The following is a 27,848-nucleotide window of genomic DNA, read 5'->3' as shown; positions in this document are numbered from 1 at the left end:
TGTGATAGAGAGAGAGTCAGAAAGAATATGATAGAATCACAGGAAGAGCTGGATACATAGGAAATCGGGTAGCAGAAACAAAATCCAACTTTACAAGTAGCCCCACAATGTAGAAGGACCTACATTTGCCATTATAAAAAAATGGATGGACAGTTGAGTATAAAAAATAAAATCTAGCAGTATGTTCTTCACAAGATCACCTACAAAGCTGAAAGAAAAGGAAAAATTGAAAGAAAAAGAATGAGAAAAGAGGCCAGGCAAACACTAAGTTAAGCAAAGTTGTAATAGGCATATTAATAATAGGCAAAATAAATTTAAGCATAAAAAGACATTACTAAAGTTTAAAAAGGTCACTTAAGTGTGATAAAATGTTCACTTCATCAAGTAGATAAAAAATTTCTATCTTGTATGCATGTAATGAATACTGTCATCATATATAAAGTGAAAATTGACAGAACTTCCAATAGAAAAAAAAAAAGATTCACTATTATAATAGGAAATTACAATGCCTTTAAAATTTTTGATGAACTATTGAGTTGCTCAAATCCTTAATGTATGCACTCATACATTTAAGTTAAAATTAAGTAAAACTTAAAAATATATTTGAAAATTAAGTAAAAATTTAAGTATTCTGCTAAATTATTTTAGTATTTTACCTCTTGCAAGTTTTTATAAAGTAGATAGAAATGCATTGCCTATTTCTGCCACAGATACATCTTGGCATTTTCTGAATAAGAAATCTTGGTTTCAGATCTCAGATATTATGGGAGCAAAAGGCTCCAGACCTGAATCCTTAAACACCCTAATGAAAATTATGCATTCATTTATTTTAATAAAGCCCACTGGAAAGGTATGAACTAGAACAACATACCTGTGACTTTGCCCAAGGTGAGTGACCTTATAACCCTGAACTCTACTTCCGGAGAGAAGTTATAACTGAGTCGAAGTTGCTGGTCCATCTGCAGGAAAACAGAAAACAAAGGCACATCAGCAGAGGTCTGCAGGTAAGAAGCATAAAACGATCCCATCTGGAAATAGCTTGAAAAAATGCATACAGATAGCAGACCCCCCTCTGAGATTTTCTCTCAGGAGAGATTAGACAGGTCTCGCTAATTTGCCCACAACGCACATAAAATACCCCTTTCTTTCTTCTTTGTGAAATAAGGGTTTTCACACAAGTCTTCTCCCTGGGAAACTGTATACAGCGTTTTATAGGTATTTATCTCCCCACAGAGATTTTCTCACCAAATTCTTTGCTGCAAACAAGCAAACAAATGAAACCTGCTCAGGAACTTGCTGTGCAAGATTAACATTAATAGGAAGCAGGAACTCATTTTCCATTTCTCCCCCTTTCTCTCTGTTTGTCCTTAGGGCCACCACTGTCCCCATTGTCCCATAATTCTGACCTGGTCTCATTTAGTTGTGGGCAGAGAGCTTTTCCTGGGCAAGGATTGCAGTCTGACAAAACATGTGGTCCTGGGGAGGAGAGGGCAGCTGAACAGTTAGCTGCAACCAACATGGACGATTGATAATCCCATCTTGCAGGGGTGAGCAAAAGCCAACACTGGGACTTCAGTAGGACTTTATTTCTATGACCATCCTTTAGAGATCCCTCCTTACTTCACCCATGGCTAATTCCAGCTCCATTTGTTCAGTCCCCTTCCCATTCCTAGGGAGCCCTCCCCATTCATTCTCACTTTTTCAGGCTAGCCATATCCTACTGGTTTCTTCCAGGCTCTACTCTGACTATGCATATGGTGCTATTCCCAGAAAGAGTCCTCATTATTTTACAGTTCACCTGTAAGAAGAGGAGACTAAGATCCCATTAGCCATGTGCCTGACTTTGCACAGCTTGAGTGCAATCCACCAGGGACTCATACATAGTCCTCCCATCTCCCCTGCCATGATTTTCCTTTGGCACGTCTGCTCAGAACGACCCTCCTCTGTTCTCAGGCAACTTACATTCTAGAGGAGGGAGACAGGACAGAAAATTTGATAAGTAAATACATTGTATTGGAAGTTAAGTGCTGAGAGAAAAAAATAATGCAGGCAAGAATAAGGGGGGGTGTAGGGTTGACGTCAAGGAAATAGGTTGCTCTATTAAATAAGCTGATCAGAGATGGCCTCAATGAGAATGACCTTTTGAATCATTTGAGTGCAGAAGGAAGTACAAGAACTGGACATGAGTATATATAAAGAATAGCATCCTAGGCAAAGCAGTGAGTCCAAGGGCTCTGCAAATAGCAAAGAGGCCAGAGTGGCACAACTAGAGTTCCAGAGGGCATATAATCAGATGAGGTTAGAGAAGCAACCAGAAATGAGCAGGGGTGTCAGATAATGGAGATCCTTATAAGCCACTGGAAGACCTTTGACTTTTTCTCTGTACGAGAAAGGAAATCATTGACAGGGTTTGGACAAAAGAATGCCAGGATCTATTCCTTCACCAGGATCACTCTGACTGCTATGTTGAGGATAGACAGCCAGGGAACCTAAAGAGGAGCAGGGAGATGTCAATCAAAAGGCAACTGTAAACAGTGATAATCCAAGCAAAGGGCAAGGGTGGCTTGGGGAAAGGTAGATGCTGTTGATCCACGAGATGCTGCATGTAAGAGAAGGAGAGATAAAAGGAGAATACCACAATTTTGAAACTATGGACTTGAAAAATGAAGCTGCCACTAACTGGGACATGCTTGCAGGGGATGAGGTCATTGTTTCAGGAGAACTTCCTAATAAGTCAATTTTAACTATTTACTTAAATATTCCAATGCCTAACGGATATTCATATAGATATGCCCAGTAGGTAGTTGGTATAAGGTCTGGAATCCAGGGACAGGATTAGTGTTAGATACACATTCAGGATTGATTCATCAGCATGTACATGAAATTTAAAGATGTGAGATCGAATGAGATGAGTATGGAGTGAGTGTAGATCAAAAGCAGAAGCTGGAGTCCTTGGGCGTTCTGAGAGTTCCTTGGGGTAGAGTTTTGAGAGATGATGGGAAACCAACAAAAGAGACAAGAGTGAGCAACTAACACAGGCAGAAGGATCAACAGGCGAGAGTTGTATTGGGCAAGCAATAAAGACTTAGGTCAAGTTGCAAGAACAGGAAGGAATCCCTATGTCAGTTGTCAATGAGAGGACAAGGAAAGATAACACTGAGACATGACCACTGGATTTTGCCAGGTAAGCACAATGATGCCTTGAGAAGTACAATTTTGCTGCAGTGCAGAGGCAATACCTTTTCGGTATGGGTATAAGAAAAAGGTAGGGAAAATATGAAGAACAAGCATATAAACAACATTTCCAAAAATTCGGGCAAGAAAAGGACAAAGAGAATGGAACACTGTAAGAAGTCAGATAAGAGAAAGGTTTCCTCTCTTTACCCAGAGATATGCTGGCTTGTTTGCTTGTTTAGCTATTGTTGTCTGTATATTAGTTCTTAATGCATGTAATAATTATTTGTTTTAGGCTTTGGGGAGCCATTCAGTAGAGCTGGAATAAATGATGAAAGGGAGGGAGGAAGGAGAATGCTAGAGTGATTTTCTTCAGTAGGGTATCAGATCTGACCCACAGGTAGCAAGGTCAGGCCTTAGCTAGAACCATGAACTATTCAGGAGGGAGAGAGAGTGCAAACACACATGTGGTAGGTAGGTAATGTGCTCTTGAGAATGTGCGGATATTCTCTTCTGAATGTAAGAGTGTAAATTCTTACAAGAAATAAGAAAGCAAAGTCATCTGCTCAGAGTTAAGACAAACTGGCAATTGTTAGCAGTATAAGTAAAGAGGAGAGAGTGTAAAATGGTCAACCAGGAGAACAGGAGAACAGATTAAAAAACATGGAGTGATTGATAGGCAGATGCAAGGGCTTGCTGAGGGTCATGATTTTAAAGGGGATGATCTGGACTCTGTCTATTCTCTGTTGGGCTCTGCCATCATCTGCTGCTGGCCCTTTATATGGAGCCCACTGAGATCTCATGGGGTGCCTCCCACACAACATGCTTTCAGACAGCTTTAGCCTGCGCTCACATGGACCCTCTTCCTGAGCACTCTCCTCCTCCCTGTGGCCAACTCCTACTCATCTTCAAGACTCAGCTTACTCCTAACTTCTTCCAGGAAGTAAGTACTGATGCCCAGGTGGGATCAGCACCCTCTTCAGTATCACCTGTGCCTGCTTCCACCACATGCCTTCCCACAGCCTATTATGATTTCCTCTTTGCCCATGCGTCTTCCTCACTTTAATGCAGCCCAGCGGTTGGCAAACCTGAGCAGACATTAGTATCACCTGCTGCTTTCCCCCTTCCATAGCCTCCAATTTAATAGATCTGCTGTGGAACCCAAGAATCTGCATTTCTTTTTGTTTGTTTGTTTGTTTTTTGAGATGGAGTCACTCTGTCTCCCAGGCTGGAGTGCAGTGGTGGGATCTCTGCTCACTGCAACCTCCGCCTCCCAGTTTCAAGTGCTCCTACCTCAGCTTCCCCAGTAGCTGGGATTATAGGTGCGTGCCACCACACCTGGCTAATTTTTGTATTTTTTAGTATTGATGGGGTTTTGCCATGTTGGCCAGGCTAGTCTCGAACTCCTGACTTTGTGATCCACCTGCCTCAGCCTCCCAAAGTGTTGGGATTACAGGCATGAGCCACTGCACCTAGCCAATAATCTGTATTTCTTTTTTTCTTTTAATTTTTTTTTTTAATGAAGTCTTGCTCTGTCTCCCAGGCTGGAGTTCAATGGCGTGATTTCTGCTCACTGCAACCTCTGCCTTTCAGGTTTAAGCGATTCTCCTGCCTCAGCCTCCTGAGTACATGGGACTACAAGTGTGTGCCACCACACCTGGCTAATTTTTGTATTTTTAGTAGAGATGGGGTTTCACTATTTTGGCCAGGCTGGTCTCGAACTCCTGACCTCTTGATCTGCCCGCCTCAGACTCCCAAAGTGCTGGGATTGCAGGTGTGAGCCACCACACTTGGCCCAAGAATCTGCATTTCTAACAGGGTCCCAAGTGATGCTGATACTGGTGGGACATGGGAAGCACATCTTGAGAACCACTATCCTAGTTCTTCCAAGTCTGGGGGCAAGTGTGATTTGTAACTATGTTTCCAGCACTAGGCACTACACTGGCATGGGGTAGAAGCTTAGAAAAGTTTGATAGAGTAGCCAAGGCACATTGGCTGAAGCAGGAGAAAGTAAGGAAGGTACCTGAATGGTAAGCTCTCTTCCCTCTCGGTTAATCTTCAAGTGGTGCATCCTTCTGTTAGCAAAGTTATCTGCATCAATGGTGAATACATGGGTTTCTTCCTTGTTTAGGTGATAGCGAACCTGTAAGCTTCCTTGAAAGAAAAATATTAGAAATTAGAATATAAAGCAGCACCTATAAAATGCAAAGACATGATCAGATTATCTTTTAATTGATTATTAGGGCCCCAGGTCTTAATCCTTCCATTATTCAATTTTTAAAAATATATCACGTATATTTATCAGGGTCCCTAAAGAAAATTCTGAAGAGAGCTGCAAAAATAGAGAGACAGAGAGAGAGAGAGAGAGTGTGTGTGTGTGTGTGGTGTTATCACAAACCAAAATGCCAGTTTAGAAAATAAAACATCTATTTTGTAATTGGATCATGAAACTTTAATAAGGTAGAGTTAAGATCTTTTCTACTTTCTCTTCAATTCCTACCACTTCCTATAACTCTCTTTCTTCCTAATTGCTGTCTCCCTTTTATATCTAAGGACTGGAAAGAGAACTCAGTCCTGTTATCACCCGTTGATATATAATGCCCATGATGGGAATGTGGCCAGATTAGGGCACAGTGCCTCACTTTAACCCTTTAGGGTCCATTAACCCTTTTAACCCTTTACAGCCCACTGGAACATTCAAATTTTATTAGGACTGCGTTTTTCAAACAGCTGTTAGCTATTCCTTGTTGGTTAGGAAATCAATTTACTGGGTCTCAGTCAGCATTTCTTACAAAATGAAACAGAATTTAGACATATGAGACTCCCAGGAGACATATTAAAAATAGAAGTGTATCAATTCTGTGTGTGTGTGTGTGTGTGTGTGTGAGACACAGAGAGACAGAGAGAGAGAGACAGAGAGAGAGAGAGAGAATATTAGCTCACAATGCAAAATGGCCACTTCAGAGAGATTTGTTAAGGGAAATAAGATTAAGCTAGATGGGAGGAATAAGTTCTAGTGTTCTATAGCACTGTAGGATGACTAGAGTTAACAAAAGTATATTGTATGTTGTTTCAGGTAGCTAGAAGGAGAATACTGAATGTTTCCAAAACAAGTGATAAATGTGTGAGATAATGGTTGTGCTAACTACCCTTATCTGATCACTATACATATATGTATTGAAACATCTCTATGTACCTTATAAATATATACAAGTATTATATGTCAATTAAAAATAAAATTTAAAAAAATGTTTGAAAGACATTCTATATTTAAAAATTGCCATGGGGTAATAAGTTGTTGAGATGCTACTTTATCTCAGACACTGTGACAGGCACTTTTCCTCATCTGATCCTTTCCCCAGCGTCACTGGCTGTGAGAGTTGAGCCAAGCAGCCCAACTGCATGCTGCTTGCTGTCCTTTTCTGTCTGTAGGGGTCATCTGGTCTGGAGTCACTGGAGTCCCACACACAAAATGGCAGGAGCTCTTCCCTTGGACATATGTGGGAATGGAAAATAATTGGAATTGAGGAGCGATGTCATAAGCTGATGGCCATTGGGGAGAAAGGAGTATCTGCTCAAATTTGAGCTGAGAACAACTAAAGTAACTCTTTCTCATCCCCTCAAAGTTTCTCATATTCCCTCATCCCAAAGAAAAACTCCCTGAACTCTCTCAGCCTGCCCATCTTTCCCAGACTGCCAATCCAGTAAGGCAAGAGGGTTGTGAGTAACCACCGTGTCCCTGACTGATCCCCAGTCCTCACCCAAGTATTTGAATACTTTTGCGGGGAGAGGGCAGAGACCATTTCAAATATAAGTTGCTACTCATAGAATTTCAGAATACATGCATGTGAAACAATAAATTAAGAATAGAAAAATGTAGTTTGGAGCTATGAGGCCATTGCCTAACACTTCTGAGGCCAGAAGGAGAAGCTCTCTATACCTGGTCCTGGTTTTCCTGGTTCATTCTCTTTCTGTGGTTCTGACCACGCAGATTTCCGGATATTATTATTTTTGTTATTTTACTACTTAAAAAGTAATGGCTGCTCCCAAGAGCAGCATATTTTGTGCAGACAGGAGCTGGTAGGGGCGAGTCACTGTGCAGATCACGGGCAAGGTACCCCTCCTGCCCCTGGCAGGGAAAGGCCCATCTCGTGCACTGGTGGGTTGCTGGGCAATATGCCCTTCCACACTTTTCTAAGAATCTGTGTGTCTTAACATTTAATTCAACCTCATAAAATAAACCAGTGTGTGATAATTACGTGCCAGACATAGTGATCGACCCCCACATTCCTTAAGGCTGTTGAACTCTCTTAACATCTTACTGTTCTGGTAATTCATATTCACACACATATTCTTTACATATTTTTCCATTTTTGAAAACACTTTCATTTTATACATGTTTGCTGGCATCCCTCTTGCCACCATTCCTCTTAGGACCTAGTAATCTCAGCAGAGTTCCTATCTGCTAAAGTATTCTGAAGCTTCCCCCAATATCCAAGTTCGTGATACAAAAAAACACCTCAGCTAGTTCTTCCAAAGCCATACAAATACTTCACTCGCCTTCTTAGGAGCTTTGATGCAATCAGTGCCTCTTAAAGTATCCCTCCACCCGCGAATGTGATGTTCTGAAACCTCCCACTAACTCATTTCACATGACTCTTGGGGAAGCAAATTCACTCCATGACTTTTCAAAGTAAGTTTGACCCCATGAAAGGCTAACTTCCAGAAGGGATGTGGGTCAGAGCTGGGGGCTCATTAATCACCTCCCTGAGCGTCTTCTTCAGTGGCTTTGTTAGGGAGCTAAGAGACATTTCCACCTCTTCAGCTGTGCACTCCAGTGGTTCAGATCACCATCAGCTTCTTGCCTGGCATTGCCATGTCTATTTGTCTCTGGAGAATCCTGGGCCCAGAGTTATTCCCGCTATCCTCAGGCCTTCCTCTACCCCCTCGGCTTGCTTCATCTGTGAGCTTCCATTTCCTCCCTGGAGTTTTCTGTCCCCATCCCCTTTCATTAGGTTGACAGCAATGATAGACATTGCAAGTTTATAATTCCACAGACAGTGAATTGTCAGAGGGAAGGTGTTGTCCCTAAGTCTAATAAAGCAAAGAATGAATTGAATATTCTGGCCATGAATGCGATGCAATTTCTCTGACATGCTGTAATGCATTTATTGTCTATTTGGTATCATTTTCTTGTTGTTTATATATTAACATTGCTACACTATAAAGGACACACATCATTTTTTGTTCATATAAACAGAGATAAGATGTTCACAATGTGGAAATTAACAATAAAAGAGATTTGAGCCTTAGCTTAAAATAAAACTTAGTTTAAAAATAAAACTGGGCTAGGTGTGATGGCTCACGCCTGTAATCCCAGCACTTTGGGAGGCCAAGGCAGGCAGATCACCTGAGGTCAGGAGTTCGAGACCAGCCTGGCCAATATGGTGAAACCCCATCTCTACAAAAAATACAAAAATTAGCTGGGCATGGTGGCACATGCCTGTAATCCCAGCTACTCAGGAGACTGAGGCAGGAGAATCGCTTCAACCTGGGAGGTAGAGGTTGCAGTGAGTGGAGATTGTGCCACTGCACTCCAGCGTGGGCGATAGAGCAAGATTCTGTCTCAAAAACTAATAATAATAGAATAAAATAAATAAAAATAAAACTAATTTGAGCCTTAGTTGCTTCTGGAATAAATATGTATAAAAAGAAATAAACTTTTGTCACTAGCAACTACTCTCGAAGTTTTAAAGGTCCTATCCATGTTGGAGCACTCAAGTTAAATCTAGCTGCTTCTTCTTCTTCTTCTTCCCCGTATTCAGGCAAAATCATCATCATTATTTTTATATTTATTTATTTATTTGTTTTTGAGATGGAGTCTCACTCTGCCACCCTGGCTGGAGTGCAGTGGCGTGATCTCGGCTCACTGCAACCTCCATCTCCTGGGTTCAAGTGATTCTCCTGCCTCAGCTTCTCAAGTAGCTGGGATTACAGGCTTGCACCACTACACCCAGCTATTTATTTATTTATTTATTTTTGTATTTTTAGTAGACTTGCAGTTTCACCATCTTGGCGAGGCTGCTCTTGATCTCCTGACCTCAGGTGATCCACCCGTCTCAGCCTCCCAAAGTGCTAAGACTACAGACATGAGCCACCACGCCTGGCCAGCATCATTATTTTTAGAAATAAACAACAGATATTATAAATGCTGTTTTTCTAAAAAATTGAAAATCTATATTTAAAAAAGTACTTAAACACATGATAAGGAATCCTCTTAAAAGAACCGATGGTTTATCACACCCTGATAAGATCCCTTTTCACTTACTAGACATCGTTACACTCCTTGGCTTAGCACAGGTATTCCATCATGATTGAGCACCTACTCAATACTCCACTTTCATCTAGAATGCTTTTTCTCTTTAATTTTCTTCACTTTACTGCGGAAAAAATAGAGCTGCTGGGAAGTAAATAACTTTTCCTGTTCTCAGTAAATGATGAGGTCAGATTTAAAAACTAAATTCAGCCGGTTCCAAAGAGCATGAGTTTCCCAAGGGCCACAACAGCCCATGGTGATCACCGCTGCCCAGAATGCCCTTCTCATTAGGTTGACTCTCCCATACTTCAGAATTCATCATAAGTTTCCCTCTCATAAGAAGCCCTCCCTGGCCTCTGTAAACTGCCCATAACTGATCCAATAGGCCCTACCATCTCCTTTATTCTAACATGTACTGTGTTGTGTTGTCTACTTACTTGCCTAACTCGCACAAATCAATAAAATCCTTGGGAGCCAGGACATATCTCATTGGTTCTTGGGTTTCTAGTGTCTGGCCCATGGTAAGTACCCAGTAAATTTGGAAAGAAGGGAAAAGAAAGAAAGAAACAACGGAAGAAAGGGAGAAAGAAAGGAGAGAAGGAAGGAAGGAAGGAAGGAAGGAAGGAAGGAAGGAAGGAAAGAAGGAAGGAAGGAAGGAAGGAAGGAAGGAAGGAAGGAAGGAAGGAAGGAAAGAAGGAAGGAAGGAAGGAAGGAAGGAAGGAAGGAAGGGAGAGAGGGAGGCAGGGAGGAAATAATTGAATAATTTGGTGGGTCTTAGAAATTTTTTTTTTTTTGAGACAGAATCTCGCTCTGTCGCCCAGACTGGAGTGCAATGGCACTATCTCGGCTCACTGCAAGCTCCGCCTCCCGGGTTCACACCATTCTCCTGCCTTAGCCTCCTGAGTAGCTGGGACTACAGGCGCCCACCACCATGCACGGCTATTTTTTTGTATTTTTAGTAGAGATGGGTTTCACCATGTTAGCCAGGATGGTCTCGATCTCCTGACCTCATGATCCACCCACTTTGGCCTCCCAAGGTGCTGGGATTACAGGCGTGAGTCACCACACCAGGCCTATTTTTTTTTTTTATACTTTAAGTTCTAGGATACATGTGCACAATGTACAGGTTTGTTACATATGTATACACGTGCCATGTTGGTGTGCTGCACTCATTAACTCATCATTTACATTAAGTATATCCCCTAATGCTATCCCTCCCTGCTCCCCTCACCCCACCACAGGCCCCAGTGTATGATGTTCCCCTTCCTGTGTCCAAGTGTTCTCATTGTTCAATTCCCACCTATGAGTGAGAACATGTGGTGTTTGGTTTTTTGTCCTTGCGATAGTTTGCTGAGAATGATGGTTTCCAGCTTCATCCATGTCCCTACAAAGGACATGAACTCATCCTTTTTTATGGCTGCATAGTATTCCATGGTGTATATGTGCCACACTTTCTTAATCCAGTCTATCATTGATGGACATTTGGGTTGGTTCTCAGTCTTTGCTATTGTGAATAGTGCTGCAATAAACATACGTGTTCATGTGTCTTTATAGCAGCATGATTTATAATCCTTTGGGTATATACCCAGTAATGGGACGGCTGGGTCAAATGGTATTTCTAGTTCTAGATCCCTGAGGAATCGCCACAATGACTTCCACAATGGTTGAACTAGTTTATAGTCCCACCAACAGTGTAAAAGTGTTCCTATTTCTCCACATCCTCTCCAGCACCTGTTGTTCCCTGACTTTTTAATGATTGCCATTCTAACTGGTATGAGATGGTATCTCATTGTGGTTTTGATTTGCATTTCTCTGATGGCCAGTGATGGTGAGCATTTTTTCATGTGTTTTTTGGCTGCATAAATGTCTTCTTTTGAGAAGTGTCTGTTCATATCCTTTGCCCACTTGTTGATGGGGTTGTTTGTTTTTTTCTTGTAAATTTGTTTGAGTTCATTGTAGATTCTGGATATTAGCCCTTTGTCAGATGAGTAGATTGCAAAAATTTTCTCCCATTCTGTAGGTTGCCTGTTCACTCTGATGGTAGTTTCTTTTGCTGTGCAGAAGCTCTTTAGTTTAATTAGATCCCATTTGTCAATTTTGGCTTTTGTTGCCATTGCTTTTGGTGTTTTAGACATGAAGCCCTTGCCCATGCCTATGTCCTGAATGGTATTGCCTCGGTTTTCTTCTAGGGTTTTCATGGTTTTAGGTCTAACATTTATGTCTTTAATTCATCTTGAATTAATTTTTATGTAAGGTGTAAGGAAGAGATCCAGTTTCATCTTTCTTCATATGTCTAGCCAGTTTTTATTATTTCTTTTCTTCTACTAATTTTGGCTTTGATTTGCTCTTACTTTGCTGCTTCTTTAAAATGCATTGTTAGATAGTTTATTTGAAGTTTTCTCTGGTGATATGATTTAGTTTCTTTTTATTTTTTGTGTATCCATTGTATGCTTTTTGACTCAATGTTTCCATGAGGCTTGCAAATACTAACTTATAACCCATTACTTTAAGTATAACCCATTATTTAACTTGATTTTCACGATATTGATTCTTCCTATCCATGAGAATGGAATATTCTTCTATTTGTTTGTGTCCTCTTATTTCACTGAGCAGTGGCTTGTTCTCCTTGAAGAGGTCCTTCACATCCCTTATAAGTTGGATTCCTAGGTATTTTATTCTCTTTGAAGCAATTGTGGATGGGAGTTAACTCATGATTTGGTTCTGTCTGTCTGTTATTGGTGTATAAGAATGTTTGTGATTTTTGCACATTGATTTTGTATCCTGAGACTTTGCTGAAGTTGCTTATCAGCTTAAGGAGATTTTGGGCTGAGATGATGGGGTGTTTTAGATATACAGTCATGCCATCTGCAAACAGGTACAATTTGACTTCCTCTTTTCCTAATTGAATACCCTTTATTTCCTTCTCCTGCCTGATTGCCCTGGCCAGAACTTCCAACACTGTGTTGAATAGGAGTGGTGAGAGAGGGCATCCCAGTCTTGTGCCAGTTTTCAAAGGGAATCCTTCCAGTTTTTGCCCATTCAGTATGATATTGGCTGTGGGTTTGTCATAAATAGCTCTTATTATTTTGAGATATGTCCCATCAATACCTAATTTATTGAGAGTTTTTAGCATCAAGGGCTGTTGAAATTTTTAATATCTAAAAAATAATTTCTCTGGAACAGGACAACTCTCATAGTACTTATTTTTATTAAGTCCAGAGACCAATTCACTTGACTTGTTCTTATACACTGTCTCGCCTAGAGTGTGTTATCCTTGAATTGGGTGTATATGTTTTTGTTTTTGTGGTGTTTTTTTTTCATGAAGTGTCACTCTTGTTGCCCAGGCTGGAGTACAGTGGTGCGATCTCAGCTCACTGCAACCTCTGCCTCCCAGGTTCAAGCAATTCTGCCTCAGCCTCCTTATTGCAGGTGCTTGCCACCGTGCCCAGCTAACTATTCATTTTTTTTTCTTTTTTTTTTAGTGGAGACAGGGTTTCATCATGTTGGTCAGGCTGGACTTGAAATCCTGACCTCAGTTGATCCACCCGCCTCGGCCTCCCAAAGTGCTGGGATTACAGGCATGAGCTCCCCTGCCTGGCCTGAGTTGGGTGTATACGTATCTTGAAAATCCCAAGGGTGGCATGCCAAAGGAGCTTGCTAGAATCTGGTGGTCCTGTTGGAGTTGAGCAGTCTCTGCACTGGTTTAGCCTCCTTCTCACCTGCATCTGAGGCTGTAACACCTCAGAAAATTTACTCAGGTTTGGGCTCCCACCAACTGCCTGGAACCTGCTGACTATTGCCTGTGTTTAGGGTTCCATCTCTTTTGCATGCATCTGAGATTGCCTTATATGCCGAGTCCAGTAGTTTTCAAATTTGTTTCCAATTGCAACACTGTATTCAAATGATGCGGACAGTGAAGGCTAGTACAGAAAAGAAAAAAAAATGTAGAGCTGCACGAGTTGAAGTGGGAGGGGTACTTATGGGGAGGCTCACTGTCTCTTCCTCGTCACCCCATCTCCACCCCACAACTTCATTTGGCCAACACAATGCCTTGGTCTCCAAGGAATACAGTGGAAACCATTTGCCCCTTCAGAGAGAGCTCAGCCTACTGGGATTTGGTCACAGATCCCCAGGACAGCTTTTTGTATCACTCCTGTGAGCCCCATGAGCCACAGCCCAGAAACCAGTGCCTCCCTGCAGGTTTGACCCCCAGGACCTCATGCTCTAAGTATCCAGAGGTCAGATCTGACAAGCTTGCCATGGATATTTGGCCAGGCTTTAAGTTGATCAATGTTAGACTCTGTATACGTCTAAGTAGACATAACTAGCTTCAAGAAAGAACCTCGCATGGAAGAGATACTACACTCCTCCTGAAGTAGGATATGTTGGATCTATTTCAAAGCACCTCTAATACTCAGCCAAGGATCACCCAGTACCTTGTAGCAAGGCATTTTATTATTATTTATATCCTACTTGAAATTCAGCTACACATGACAAGGGGATGACGGACCAGGAACTCAGGGTCTAAAAGTCCAAATAAAATGCTCAACATCACTCATGATCAGGGAAATGCAAGTTAAAACAACATTGCGATATTACCTTACTCCTGCAAGAATGGCCAAAATCAAAAAATCAAAAAATAATAGATAATGGCATGGATGCAGTGAAAAGGGAAAACTTCTACAATGCTGGTGGGAATGTAAACTAGTACAACCATTGTAGAAAATAGTGTGGAGATTCCTTAAAGAACTAAAAGTAGAACTACCGTTTGATCCAGCAATCCCACTACTGGGTATCTACACAGGAAAGTAAGTCATTATACAAGAAAGATACTTGCACACGCATGTTTATAGCAGTGACATTTGCAATTGCAAAAATATGGAACCAGCCCAAATGCCCATCAATCAACTAGCAGATTAAGAAATTGTGGTATGTGTGCATGTGTATAGGTATATATTCTTTATCAACTAGTAGATAAAGAAATTGTATATATACACACACCCCCACACACAATTTCTTTATTTTTTTATACACACACACACACACACACACACACACACACACACACCATGGACTATTACTCAGCCATAAGAAGGAACAAATAAATGGCATTCGCAGCAACGTGGATGGAACTGGAGACCCTTATTCTAAGTGAAGTAACTCAGTCATGGAAAACCAAACATTGTAAGTTCTCACTCATAAGTGGGAGCTAAGCTATGAGGATGCAAAGGCATAAGAATGATACAATGGACTTTGGGGACTCAAGGGTAAGGGTGAAAGGGGGATGAGGGATAAAAGACTATAAATTGGGTTCAGTGTACACTGCTTGGGTGATGGGTGCAGCAAAATTTCAGAAATCACCACTAAAGAACTTATTCATGTAACCAAATACCAACTGTTCCCCAAAAACCTATGAAAATAAACATTTTGAAAAATAAAATAAAATTACATTAATTAAATTTAAAAGTTCAAATATCTAATTCAGTATCTTGAGCTGGGACTTAGGGTAAATACTCTCGTACATTGGTTGTACAAGAACATAATTTTTCTGTTTTACCTTTTCTCACCATTCTACTCTTCCTACTCTAATCTGTTTTCCACACTTTTATTAATATGAATATTATAACACATATGTGGCCATATGACTCTAGTGCCTAAAAAACTCCGAGGTGGCTGGGCACAATGGCTCATGCCTGCAATCCCAGCACTTTGGGAGGCTGAGGTGGGCGGATCACTTGAGGTCAGGAGTTCGAGCCTGACCAACATGGCGAAACCCTGCCTCTACTGAAAATATAAAAATTAGCCGAGCGTGGTGGCACATGCCTGTAATCTCAGCTACTTGGAAGGCTGAGACAGGACAATTGCTTGAACCTGGGAGGTGGAGGTTGCAGTGAGCCAAGATTGTGCCATTGCACTCCAGCTTGGTCAACAAGAGCAAAACTCTGTCAAAAAAAAAAAAAAAAAAAAAAAAAAAAAGCAAAAGCCCAAGGCTTTCTAATTCTATATGAGAAAGTCCAACTTCTTACCATGACATTCAATGTCCTTTCTTACCTTTCCAACTTTATTATGTATGTATTATTATATCTTAGTCACACACCTGAACACGCAGTATCCCTCCAAATGCTTTTCCTTGCCTCTGCACATTGTTATGTTTTTGTTTTATTTTGTTTCTCTTTTCCCCTTAGCTGAAAACACCTACTTGCCTCCTAATATGTCTGGCAAGCTCCTCCTCATTATTTAAGACCCAGTCCATGTGACCCAGGTCCCCACTTGCCCCAAAGACTAATAACATCTTTCTTTTCACCATATTGCCACTCTGGTCACGTAGAATACAAATCTCAATTTATCAAGACTCTTTTGTCTTTCTCATCCTCTTGAATCTAAGCTCCCCTAGGAGGAATTGTTGCTTATTCATCTTTGTGTCTAAAGAGAATAACATGGGACATGCTATCTTAAATCTCCAGAAGACATTTGTTGAATAAAATAGCCACTATGGAGAATGTTATCAACACTTCCCCCAAATTATAAACTAACATTTATTCAATGCCTGCTGGTGTAAGACACTAGAGAAACAAATGGCTATAATGCTACAGTTCTATCTTCAAAGACCTTATAATCTAGTTGAAGGAGACAAAAGCAACAGTCACACTGGCTGATCTGATGTGCCTACTCTGTATTAGGCACCTAACCTGGTACTAAAGATAGGTTTTTCATTAAATCCTCAGATTAAAAAATGGAATTTTACAGAGGTATAAAAACTCCACAAGTAAAACTGTAATGAGAATATTCATAATGAAATGGGATTTAAACCAAGGAGTGCAGATGTATATAAAGTATGTGCCCTTTCCACTATGTCATGCTACCTCAAAAGAGATGTGTGGCAGCATAGAAGGATGAGTGGATGGATAGAGGAATGGACGTATAAGCAGAGGGAAAGGGAGAAGATTTGATCAGTGCTACGGAATACATGTTTTGTGAATTCAAAATCAATAAGTGGTTATAAGGGTTGAAGTACATCCACATGAAAGTTCACTGCAGTACTATTCGCAATAGCAAAGACATGGAATCATCACAAATGCCCATCAATGACAGATTGGATAAAGTAGATATGGTATATAGACACCATGAAATACTATGCAGTCATAAAAAAGAATGAGATCATGTCTTTTGTGGGAACAGGGATGGAGCTGGAAGCCATTATCCCTAGCAAACGAATGCAGGAACAGAAAACCAAATACCTCATGTTCTCACTTGTAAGTAGGAGCTAAATGATGAGAACTCATGGACACAAAGAGGGGAACAAAAGATGCCAGGGCCTACGTGAGGATGGAGGTTAAGAGGAGGGAGAGGATCAAGAAAACAACTATTGGATACTAGGCTTAGTACCTGGGTGACAAAATAATCTGTACAACAAACCTCTGTGACATGAGTTGAACTGTGTAACAAACCTCAACATGTACCCCTGAATCTAAAATAAAAGTTAAAAAAAATGCGTGGAGGTAATTAGAAAGAGTTTGTCTGGGAAGAAGTTTTGTAGAAGCAAGATAGAACTTAGTTTGGAAAACAAAAAGTGATATACTATTAACTATGATGTAAACAGAGTGATGTAGCTGGATCTCACCGTACCTGAAGCTGTAGAACTGTAGGACAGTGGAGCGGATGAGAACCTTAGCAGCCATTTGCACAACCAACCTCATCATTTTGAAAAGTAGGGAAACTGTGACCCCACAAAAGGAATGGGAACTTGGAATGAAATGTTAAAGAAAGAGACCACACTGGCAAGGAATGCCAAGGAAATTTTACCTGTTTCTGTAAAGGGGGATTCCATTAGGAGCAGCAAACACATGTGTGACACAAAGTGATATTTAAGAATGTTAGCCTGGGTGCCACAATGTACATATAAGATCTAAAGGGAAAGACACAAAGCACTATGGCCCTCACATCATCAAAGGGATGACTGATCCAGACTCTGGACCACCACTGAGGGATAAGAGTTCGCTCTCATTCTCCCTTTACTACGGCATTGCTAGTTTCTTGCTTTACCATTTCACTTTGAAAGAGCAGGCTCTTCTCCATGTTGATTCTTTTCTATTCCACATCAGTTCATGTCAATCCTAGACTTAGACAGCTTCCTATGCATCTTTCAGTTTCTGCTAACCAGATTGTCCTCACCAAAAAGCTCCCCTTTTAGTTTTTACCACCTCACATAATGGCACCCCTCTGTGCTGGCTGCTCAGGTTAAAATTCTAGGAGCCATACTTGTTTCTTTTGTTTCATTTTCTTGACCAGAACCCCTATACATGTGCCCCACACCAAGTCATCGACAGCCCTCTGGTCTCTACTAAATACATTGTGCATCTTTGCACTTCTTTCCAGGTCTTCACCATGCCGCAAGGCAGTCCATCACCAGCTCTCACTTGAACAACTACAACACATCTGAACTTGTCTCCCAGATTCCAGCCTCACCTCCTCATTCTCCCACACCCATCCATTCCCTACACAGCAGTCAAAATAAGCATTTACACTATAAACCAGATGCCACTACTTAAAATGTTTAATGATTCTCCAGTGCACTTAGAATAAAATCCAAATTCTTTGACATGGTCTGCAAGAAACTATATCATATTCCCTTGTACCTCTTTGGTCTCATTTCATTCCACACTTGCCCTCACCCACTAAGCTCCAACTACTACTGACCTACTTTATGTTCCCCTAATGTGCTAGCTCACTCCTTCTTTGGAGACTTTATTCCTGCTTTTCTCTGCACCTAGAATGCTCCTGATACAGATCTGTGCCAGGAAGCCCCTCCTTATTCACATCTTAGGTCCCATGAGAGCCACACAATAATGTCTCCATATCCATGCACACCCACTTCAGCACCTCCATCTAACTGTTTTTCAAGCTGTCAGTCATAATTGATTAGTGCATCATGGACTCAATATCAGACTTCAGTATTTGTTAGTACTAATAATTGCAAACCCTCCGTAATTGCAACTGTAGGAATTTTGTTTTCTGACTACAATCTCTTCCCTTTCTAATTCCCTTCCTCTAATGCCTGGACTTCTCCAATACTTAGTGTAAGGGTTAATCTCACCATCTACTCAGAGCTCTTAACTCCTTTGTGTCCTCTCCTCTCTCCTTTCCCAGCTCATATTGTCTGGTCCATCACTATCCTCTCATTTACAGCCTCAAGTCCCTTGGCCCATTCTTGCTTCTTGAAAGTGGATATTTGTTTGTCCGAACAATGCCTGCTTACCCTACTTTTGAATGGTTTATCTGGTGGAAGAAAACACAAACCATGCACACTGTTTATAAGCCACTTTATATCCAGGACTGCCAACTTCATGTGGGCCTTCCCCCTCCTCTTAATCTCAGCTTCTTTCTCCTATCCATTCACCTATTGGCTAAGGCGACCATATAATGCCTTCTCTTCATTTCTGCCTTCTCCTTCCTCACTCTCAGCTAATAATCTTGTCTCCATCTTCTCGAAGACAACTGAAACATTTGTAAAAGAACCACAAAGTCCCGCCCCCACATTTACTGACGTGTCAATAGCTGAACCCCTATGTGCTGACTTTCCTTTCATTAATTTAGATGAATTATCCTCATTTTTTATCTGATGCCAACGTATTCTTTCCTTCTCATCGTTATCACCTTGTAAAGACACTACTGAGGCAACACCCCATTCCTTTACAATTCTCTTTAAAATTTGATTCCTTCTGCTATATAATTCCCATTAGCATTTTTTGTATCTAAAAGGAAACTTCTGCAACTTTCTTTCTTTTTTTGGATGGAGTTTCTCTTTTGTTGCCCAGGCTGGAGTGCAGTGGCAAGGTCTTGGCTTACTGTAGCCTCTGCCTCCAGGGTTCAAGCTATTCTCCTGCCTCAGCCTCCCTAGTAGCTGGGATTACAGGCACCTGTCACCACACTCAGCTGATTTTTGTAGAGATGGGGTTTCACCATGTTGGCCAGGCTGGTCTTGAACTCCTGACCTCAGGTGGCCCACCTGCCTCGGCCTCCCAAAGTGTTGGAATTCCAGGCATGAGCCATTGCGCCCGGCCTGCAACTCTTTTAATGTTAGCTAATGTCACATTTCTCTGCTCCCTGATGGTTTACAGTAAAACTTTTAAGGCGTTATCTATACTTTCTCTAATGCCTCTTTTTAATTTACTTTTGAAACTTATTCCAGTCAGATTTTAACCCTAAGCTACCACCAAAACTTTCATTTTATTATTAATTCACCAATGAACTGTATGTTGATAAATCGAATTTTCCTTTCATAATCAGTATCTTATTTTTATTAGTATTCAATACAGTCACATTCTTTTCTTTCTAAAATGCTTCAATTTCCTAATATTTTTCTCTCCTAGTTTCCTTCCTACTTGACTGGTCATTCATTCTCTCTCTCCATGCTGATTTCTCGATGTCACCTTGCTTTCTTCATGTTAAAGTCCCCGGGCTCGGTCTAGGAACTTCTCTATCAATACTCACTGCTTTCACAATCTCATCCAGTGCTGTGGTTCCATTTACCATCTGTTTTGTCTCCTGGGCAACTGTAATAATAGAAATTTGGAGGCTGGAAGTTTGAAACAGAAATATCAGCAGGTCCACTTGTCCTCTAATGGTTCAAGGGGAGGATGCTTTCTTGTCTCTTTTCAGCTTCTGGTAGCTCCTGACAATCCTTATTGTTCTTTGGTGTGCATTGCTCCAATCTCTGCTTCTATCCTCATGTCACATGGCCCTCTTCCCTCTGTGTGTCCCTATTTGTCTCTGTGTCTCTCTATCCACATCTCATTTTCCTTAAAAAGACACCAGTCATTGGATTTAGAACCCATTTTATCCAGTATGACTTCATTTTAACTTAATTTATTACATCTGTTAAGACCTTATTTTACAAATAAATAAAATCCTCAGTTCCAGGTGGGCATGAATTTGGGGGAAACAAAATTAGTGACCTATTTTTACTGTTATTACCAATATCGTTAAAATATCATTGGTTGCCCATTTTGTTCTAGGAACTATCTCAAATGTATTTCATATATTTCATCCTTCAATCTGAAAAATATGGCCTACTTATAATTAACTTTACGCTAATTTTACATATGGGACAACTGTAGGTCTGTTTAATTGGGTTGGACATTTAAATATGGGCCATTTCACACAGTTCTTCCCTCTAATTTGGCTGTGGCCTACAATTTTCCTGAAGGTTAGCAGCCATACTTGACATCCTTCCTTAGCCCCCATCATAGAAAATAAAAACATTTAATGAAAATTATTTAAATAAAGACATAGATAATCCCACTCAGTTAGGCGTCCCAGAGCAAAAGACTAAAATACAATTTGTGACCATTCTGAGGCCAAGCTTCATTGTTAAGAACTTGTCCTGGAACCATTGCATGTACAATCAAATGTTAAATGTGTATGACGCTGATGAAAGAAATTGTAGAAGACACAAATAAATTAATAGATAGCCCACATTCATAGATTAGAAGAATCATTATTGTTAAAATGTCCATACCACCCCCAAATGAGCTACAAATTCAATGCAGTTCTTATTAAAATTCCAATTGTATATTTCAAAGCAATAGAAAAACAATTCTAGAGTTCATATGGAATCAAAAAAGATCCCAAATAGCAAAAGGAATTTTGAGAAAGAAGAACAAGGCTGGAGGCATCACACTTCATAATTTCTAGCTATATTACAAAACTATAGTGATCAAAAGCTTATGTTATCCATGCTGAATTCCTAATTAGAAACAAAAACAAAACAAAACAAAAAAATAGTATGGTACTGGCATCAAAACAGACACATAGACTAAAGTAATAGAGGAGAGATCCCAGAAATAAACCTATACATTTGTGATCAACTAAACTTTGATAAGAACAGCAAGAATACACAATGTAAAAAAGGACAACCTCTTTAATAAATGGTGTTGGAAAAGATAGATACACACATACACATGTATTAAGTTGGATCCACATACAAAAATTTACTTGAAAATAAAGAGTTAAATATAAGATCTGAAACCATAAAACTCCTAGAAGAAAACATGGAGGAAAAACTCCTTAATATTAGTCTTGGCAATATTTGTTCTTTATATGACACCAAAAGAATACACAGCAAAATCCAAAATAAATAAATGAGACCACATCACACTAAGAAGTTTCTGCACAATATAAGAAACAGTTGAAAAAATGAAAACGTGACCTAGAGAATGGGAAAAAATATTTGCACTACAGATCTGGCAGGGATTTAATATCCAAAATATATAAAGAACTCAACTCAATAGCAAAGAATAAACAATGACAAAAGTGAGCAAAAGTTCTGGATAGATATTTTCCAAAGAAAACATACAATGACCAACAGATCTACAAAATGGTGCTCAATATCGCTACTCATCAGAGAAATGCAGATCAAGACCACAATAAGATATCACCTCACACCTGTTAGGATGGTTATTATCAAAAAGACAATAGGTAGCAAGTGTTGGCAAGGGTGTGGAGAAAAGCGAACCCTTGTACACTGTTGGTGGGAACATATACTGGTATGGCACTTATGGAAAACAGTTTGAAGACTCTTCAACAAATTAAAAAGAGAACTACTATATGATCCATCAATCCTACTTCTGGATATATATCCAGAAATCAGTACCTCAAAGAGATATTTGCACCTCATGTATATTTCAACATTATTCAGAGTAGCCAAGATATAGAAATAACCAGAGTGTTCATTGAGAGATTAGTGAGTAAAGAAAAAGTGGTACATTATTTAGCCACAGGAAATAATAAAAATACTTTAATTCTCAATAACATGGATGATATTGGAAGACATAATGCAAAGTGAAATAAGCCAGACACAGAGAGACAGACACTGTATGTTCTTACTTATATGTGGAATCCAAAAAGGTAGAAATCATAGAAGCAGAAGGTAGAATAGCGGTTTCCAGGGACTGGGGTTTGGGGAAACGAGAGGATGTTGGTCAAATTTTCAATTACAAAGTGAACAAGTTCAGGCAATCTAATGTAAAGCATGGGTGGTGATAGATGTGTTTTTTTGATTGTGGTAACCATTACACAGTGTTTATATGTATCGACCCATCACATTGTACATCTTGAATGTATTCAATCCTTATTAGTCAAGTAAACATTTTTTTAAATGCAATGATATGACTCCAAGTTTTTTTAAAAATAAATATTTTTAAGCTTTTTGGAAAAAGAGACACTTTATGCTTAAAAATTATAAATTCTATGGAAAATAAAGCCAATTTTTATGACAAAAGTAAACATTAAGGTTATTTTCCATAATTTCCATCTTAAGCAAGGTAAGAAAAGATTAGAACAGAAAAGAATTAGATATCCTCAAGAGAATATTCTCGAGAATTAAGATGTCAGATAGCAGGCAGGACTAGCTTGCAGCCGCCACTTGGATGGACAGAGCAGTGTGTGGAGACTCACGTCGTAAACTTTTGCTCCAAGAACTACCACAGGAACGTACCAGGAAAGCTAAGAGAACCCACAGACCCTTTGAAGGAACTGGATCACCACTGCAGGGTCCCTGAGATACCAAAAGCCTGTAAGTCGGCTTGCTTTCTCTGCTAGGAAACTCATAGTTTGGGGCAAGTTCTCAGCCCTGGTCTCTGGCTGCCTGGATATAGACTCGATGCTGTTGGAGGGGCACAATGAAAGTTAGACCAGCCTTCAGGACTATGGACTACATGGGAGTGGGGTGAGGCCTGTGACTGCCTGCTTTCCCCCACTTCCCTGGTGACCTGTATGATTCAGCAGAGGTAGCCATAATCCCCCTGGGAATATAACTCCATTGGACTCGAAGTCACACCCACATCCTCCACAGCAGCTGCAGCAAGCCCTGCCCAAAGAGAGGCTGAACTCAGAAAGCCCTGCCCCTACCTGGTGGTCTTTCTGTGCCCATCCTTGTAGTGAAAGACAAAGGTCAGAAGCTTTTGGGAGCTCTATGGCCCTGCTCCCCACCTGAAAATCCTGAATACTCAGCCAGGTGTTCCTAAGGCAAGAATGCATCCTCCTTATAGGGCCACATGTGATGCATTCTTAAAAGTGCCCTCTCCTGGCTGGAGGCCAACCAACATGCAACCAGCACTCTAAACAAAAACACAACCAAAGACCCTCACAGAGTCCACTTCATTCCCCTGCTACCTCCACTGCAGCAGTTGCTGTTATCCACAGCTGCAAGATCAGAAGGCAAATCATATCACAGGACTCTTTGCAGAAGCTCTCCAATACCAATGCAGAGCCCAGTAGCTCTACTGCGTGGCTAGACCCAGAAGAGCAAAAACAACCACTACAGTTTGGCTCTCAGTAAGCCCCATTCCTAGGGGAAGGGGGAGAACACCCCATCAAAGGAGAACCCCATGAATGAAAAAATCTTAACACTAGCCCTTGAATCCCATATCTTCCCTCTGACATAGTCTACCCAAATGAGAAGGAATCAGTAAAACAATTAAGGCATTATGATACAACAAGTTTCTTTAACACCCCCAAAAGATCATACCAGCTCACCAGCAATGGATCCAAACCAAGAGGGAATCTCTGAATTGCCACAAAAAGAACTCAGAAGGTCAATTTTTAAGCTAATCAAGGAGGCATCAGAGAAAGGTGAGGTCCAAATTAAAGAAATCAAAAACCTGATACAGGATATGAAAGAGAAATTCCTCAGTGAAATAGACAGTAAAATAAAAACAATTACAACTCCTGGAAATGAAGGACACACTTAGAGAAATGCACCGGAAAGTCTCAGCAGTCCAATCAAACAAGCGGGAGAAAGATCTTCACAGCTCACAGACAAGGCTGTGAAATTAACCCAATTCAACAAAGACAAAAAAATTTTTTTTAAAATGAACAAAGCCACCAATGAAATCAAGATGAAAATTCTAAAAATTCTTTGAACTGAACCATAATAGTGACAATATCTATCAAAACCTCTGGGATACAGCAAAAGTGGTGCTAAGAGGAAAGTTTATGGCATTAAATGTCTACATTAAAAAGTCCAAAGGAGCAAAAATAGGCAATCTAAGGTCACACCTCATGGAACTGATAAAACAAGAACAATCTAAGCCCAAAGCCAGCAGAAGAAAAGAAATAACAAAGATCAGAGTAGAACTGAATGAAATTGAAACAACAACAACAACAACAAAAATGACAAAATACAGAAGATAGATGAAAAAAAAAAGCTGGTTCTTTGAAAAGATAAATAAAATTGATAGACCATTAGCAAGATTAACCAAGAAAGGAAGAGAGAAGATCCAAATAAGCTCAATTAGAAATGAAACAGGAGGTATTACTACTGATAACACAAAAATACAAAAGATTATTAAAGGTTATTATGAACACCTTTATGCACATAAACTAGAGAACCTAGAGGAGATGGATACATTCCTGGAAATACACAACCGTCCTAGATTAAATGAGAAAGGTATAAAATCTCTGAACAGACCAATAACAAGCAGTGAGATTGAAATGGTAATACAAAGATAGCCACCAAAATAAAAGGCCAGGACCAGGTGGATTCACAGTTTAATTCTATCATTAATTCAAAGAAGAATTGGTACCAATCCTATAGACACTATTCCAAAAGATAGAGAAAGAAGGCATCCTTCCTAAATCACTCTATGAAGCCATTATCACCCTAATACAAAAACCAGGGAAGGAAATAGCAAAAAAAAAAAAAAATACTACAGACCAATATCCCCAATGAACATAGATGCAAAAATTTTTAACAAAATACCAGCCAACCAAATTCAACAACATATCAAAAAGATAATCCACCATGATCAAGTAGATTTCATACCAGGAATGCAGGGATGGTTTAACAGACATAAGTCAATAAATGTGATACAACACCTAAACAAAATTAAAAACAAAAATCACATGATGATCTCAATAGATGCAGAAAAAAAGTATTAGAAAAAAACCAGTATCACTTTATGATTAAAACCCTCAGCAAAATGGGCATAAAGGAGACATACCTTTACATAATAAAAGCCATCTATGACAAAGCCACAGCCAATATTATAATGAATGAGGAAAAATTGAAAGTATTCCCCCTGAGAACTGGAACAAGACAAGGATGCCCACTTTTACCACTTCTATTTAACATAGTAATGGAAGTCCTAGCCACAGCAATCAGACAAGAGAAAGAAATAAAGGGCATCCAAATTGGTAAGAGGAAATCAAACTGTCACTGTCACTATTTGCTGATGATATGGTTGTATACCTAGAAAACTCTAAAGACTCATCCAAAAAGCTCCCATAATTGGTAAATAAATTCAGCAAAGTTTCAGGATACAAAATTAATGTACACAAATCAGTAGCTCTGCTACTCTGCTGTAGACCAACAGAAGCTGAAAATCAAATCAAAATCTCAACCCATTTCACATTGGTGGAAAAAAAAATTTTAAAAACCACTACAAGGAAAACTACAAAACACTGCTGAAAGAAGTCATAGACAACAGAAACAAATGGAAACACATCCCATGCTCATGGATGGGTAGAATCAATATTGTGAAAATGACCATAGTGCCAAAAACAATGTACAAATTCAATACAATTCCCATCAAAACACCACCATCATTATAAAAAACAATCCTAAAATTCAGATGGAACCAAAAAATAGCCCACATAGGCAAAGCAAGACTAAGCAAAAAGAACAAATATGGAGGCATCGCATTACCTGACTTAAAATTATACTATTAGGCCATAGTCACCAAAACAGCTTTGTACTAGTACAGAAATAGGCACATAGACTAATGGAACAGAATAGAGAACCTGGAAATAAAGCCAAATATTTACGGCCAACTGATCTTCAACAAAGCAAACAAAAACATAAAGTGGGGAAAGGACACCCTATTCAACAAATTGTATTGGGATAATTGTCAAGCCCCATGTAAAAGAATGAAACTGGATCCTCCATCTCTCATCTTATACAAAAATTAACTCAAGATGGATCAAAGACTTAAATCTAAGACCTAAAGCCATAAAGATTCTAGAAGATAACATTGAAAAAAACTCTTCTAGACATTAGCTTAGACAAAGACTTCATGACCAAGAACCCCAAAGCAAATGCAAGAAAAGCAAATATAAATATGCAAACAGGACTTAATTAAACTAAAAAGCTTCTGCAGAGCAAAAGAAATAATCAGCAGAGTTAACAGAAAACCCAGAGTGGGAGAAAATATTCACAATCTATACATCTGAAAAAGGACTAATATCCAGAATCTACAAGGAACTCAAACAAATTAGCAATGAAAGAACAGACAATCTCATCAAAAAGTGGGCTAAGGACATGATTAGGCAATTCTCAAAAGAAAATATACAAATAGACAAAAAGCATATAGAAAACTACTCAACATAACTAATTATCAGGGAAATGTAAATCAAAACCACAATGAGATATCACCTCACTCCTGCAATAGCCATAATCAAAACATCAAAAAATTATAGCTGTTAGCATGGATGCAGTGAACAGGGAACACTCCTACACTGTTGGTAGGAATGTAAACCAGTGCAACCGCTATGAAAAACAATGTAGAGATTCCTTAAAGAACTAAAAGTAGATCTACGGTTAGATTCAGCAATCCCAGTATCTACACAGAGGAAAAGAATTCATTATATGAAAAAGATACTTGCACATGCATGTTTATAGCAGCAAAATTTGCAATTGCAAAAATATGGAACCAGCCCAAATGCTCATCAATCAACGAGTGGATAAGGGATATTACTCAGCCATAAAAAGTCATTATATGAAAAAGATACTTGCACATGCATGTTTATAGTAGCAAAATTTGCAATTGCAAAAATACAGAACCAGCCCAAATGCTCATCGATCAACGAGTGGATAAGGAATACTACTCAGCCATAAAAAGGAACAAATTAATGATATTTACAGCAACCTAAATGCCTGGATGGAATTGGAAACTATTATTATAAGTGAAGTAACTCTGGAATGAAAAACCAAACATTGTATGTTCTCACTTATAAGTGGGAGCTAAGCTATGATGATGCAAAGGCATAAGAATGATACAATGGACTTTGGGGACTCAGGAAAGGGTGGGGGCATAGTGAGGAATAAAATGTTACATATTGGGTACCATGTACAATGCTTGTGTGATGTGTGCACCAAAATCTCGGAAATCACCACTAAAGAAATTATTCATGTAACCAAACACCACCTGTTCCCCCAAAACCTACTGAAATTAAAAAAAAAATTAAAAAGAGAGAGAATATTCTCAGCTTTTTGAGAATTTCTCATGAGGCAGTAACTGCACTGCACTGAGCATTTTCAGATCCACTCAACTATGATGGTTTTCTAGGGCTCGATTCATTT

At 39.7% G+C, this 27,848-nt stretch overlaps 1 protein-coding gene across 3 annotated transcripts in view; it reads right to left on the bottom strand.

Annotated features, from left to right (window-relative positions):
- The window catches only part of CNTNAP5 (contactin associated protein family member 5), an 895,933-nt gene that overhangs the window by 50,586 nt on the left and 817,499 nt on the right, over nucleotides 1–27,848 (bottom strand). For all 3 annotated transcript variants that reach the window (NM_001367498.1, XM_017003316.2, NM_130773.4), the window contains 2 exons: nucleotides 5,198–5,328; nucleotides 872–959 (listed from right to left, as the gene is read on the bottom strand). In NM_001367498.1, the coding sequence (NP_001354427.1) occupies nucleotides 872–959; nucleotides 5,198–5,328 (219 nt within the window). The remainder of the gene's footprint in view (nucleotides 1–871; nucleotides 960–5,197; nucleotides 5,329–27,848) is intronic.

Source organism: Homo sapiens, chromosome 2 (assembly GCF_000001405.40).
Source record: "Homo sapiens chromosome 2, GRCh38.p14 Primary Assembly".
NCBI classification, from domain to species: domain Eukaryota; kingdom Metazoa; phylum Chordata; class Mammalia; order Primates; family Hominidae; genus Homo; species Homo sapiens.
Note: the sequence above shows the minus strand (reverse complement) of the source record. Positions and strands in the feature narration are given on the sequence as shown.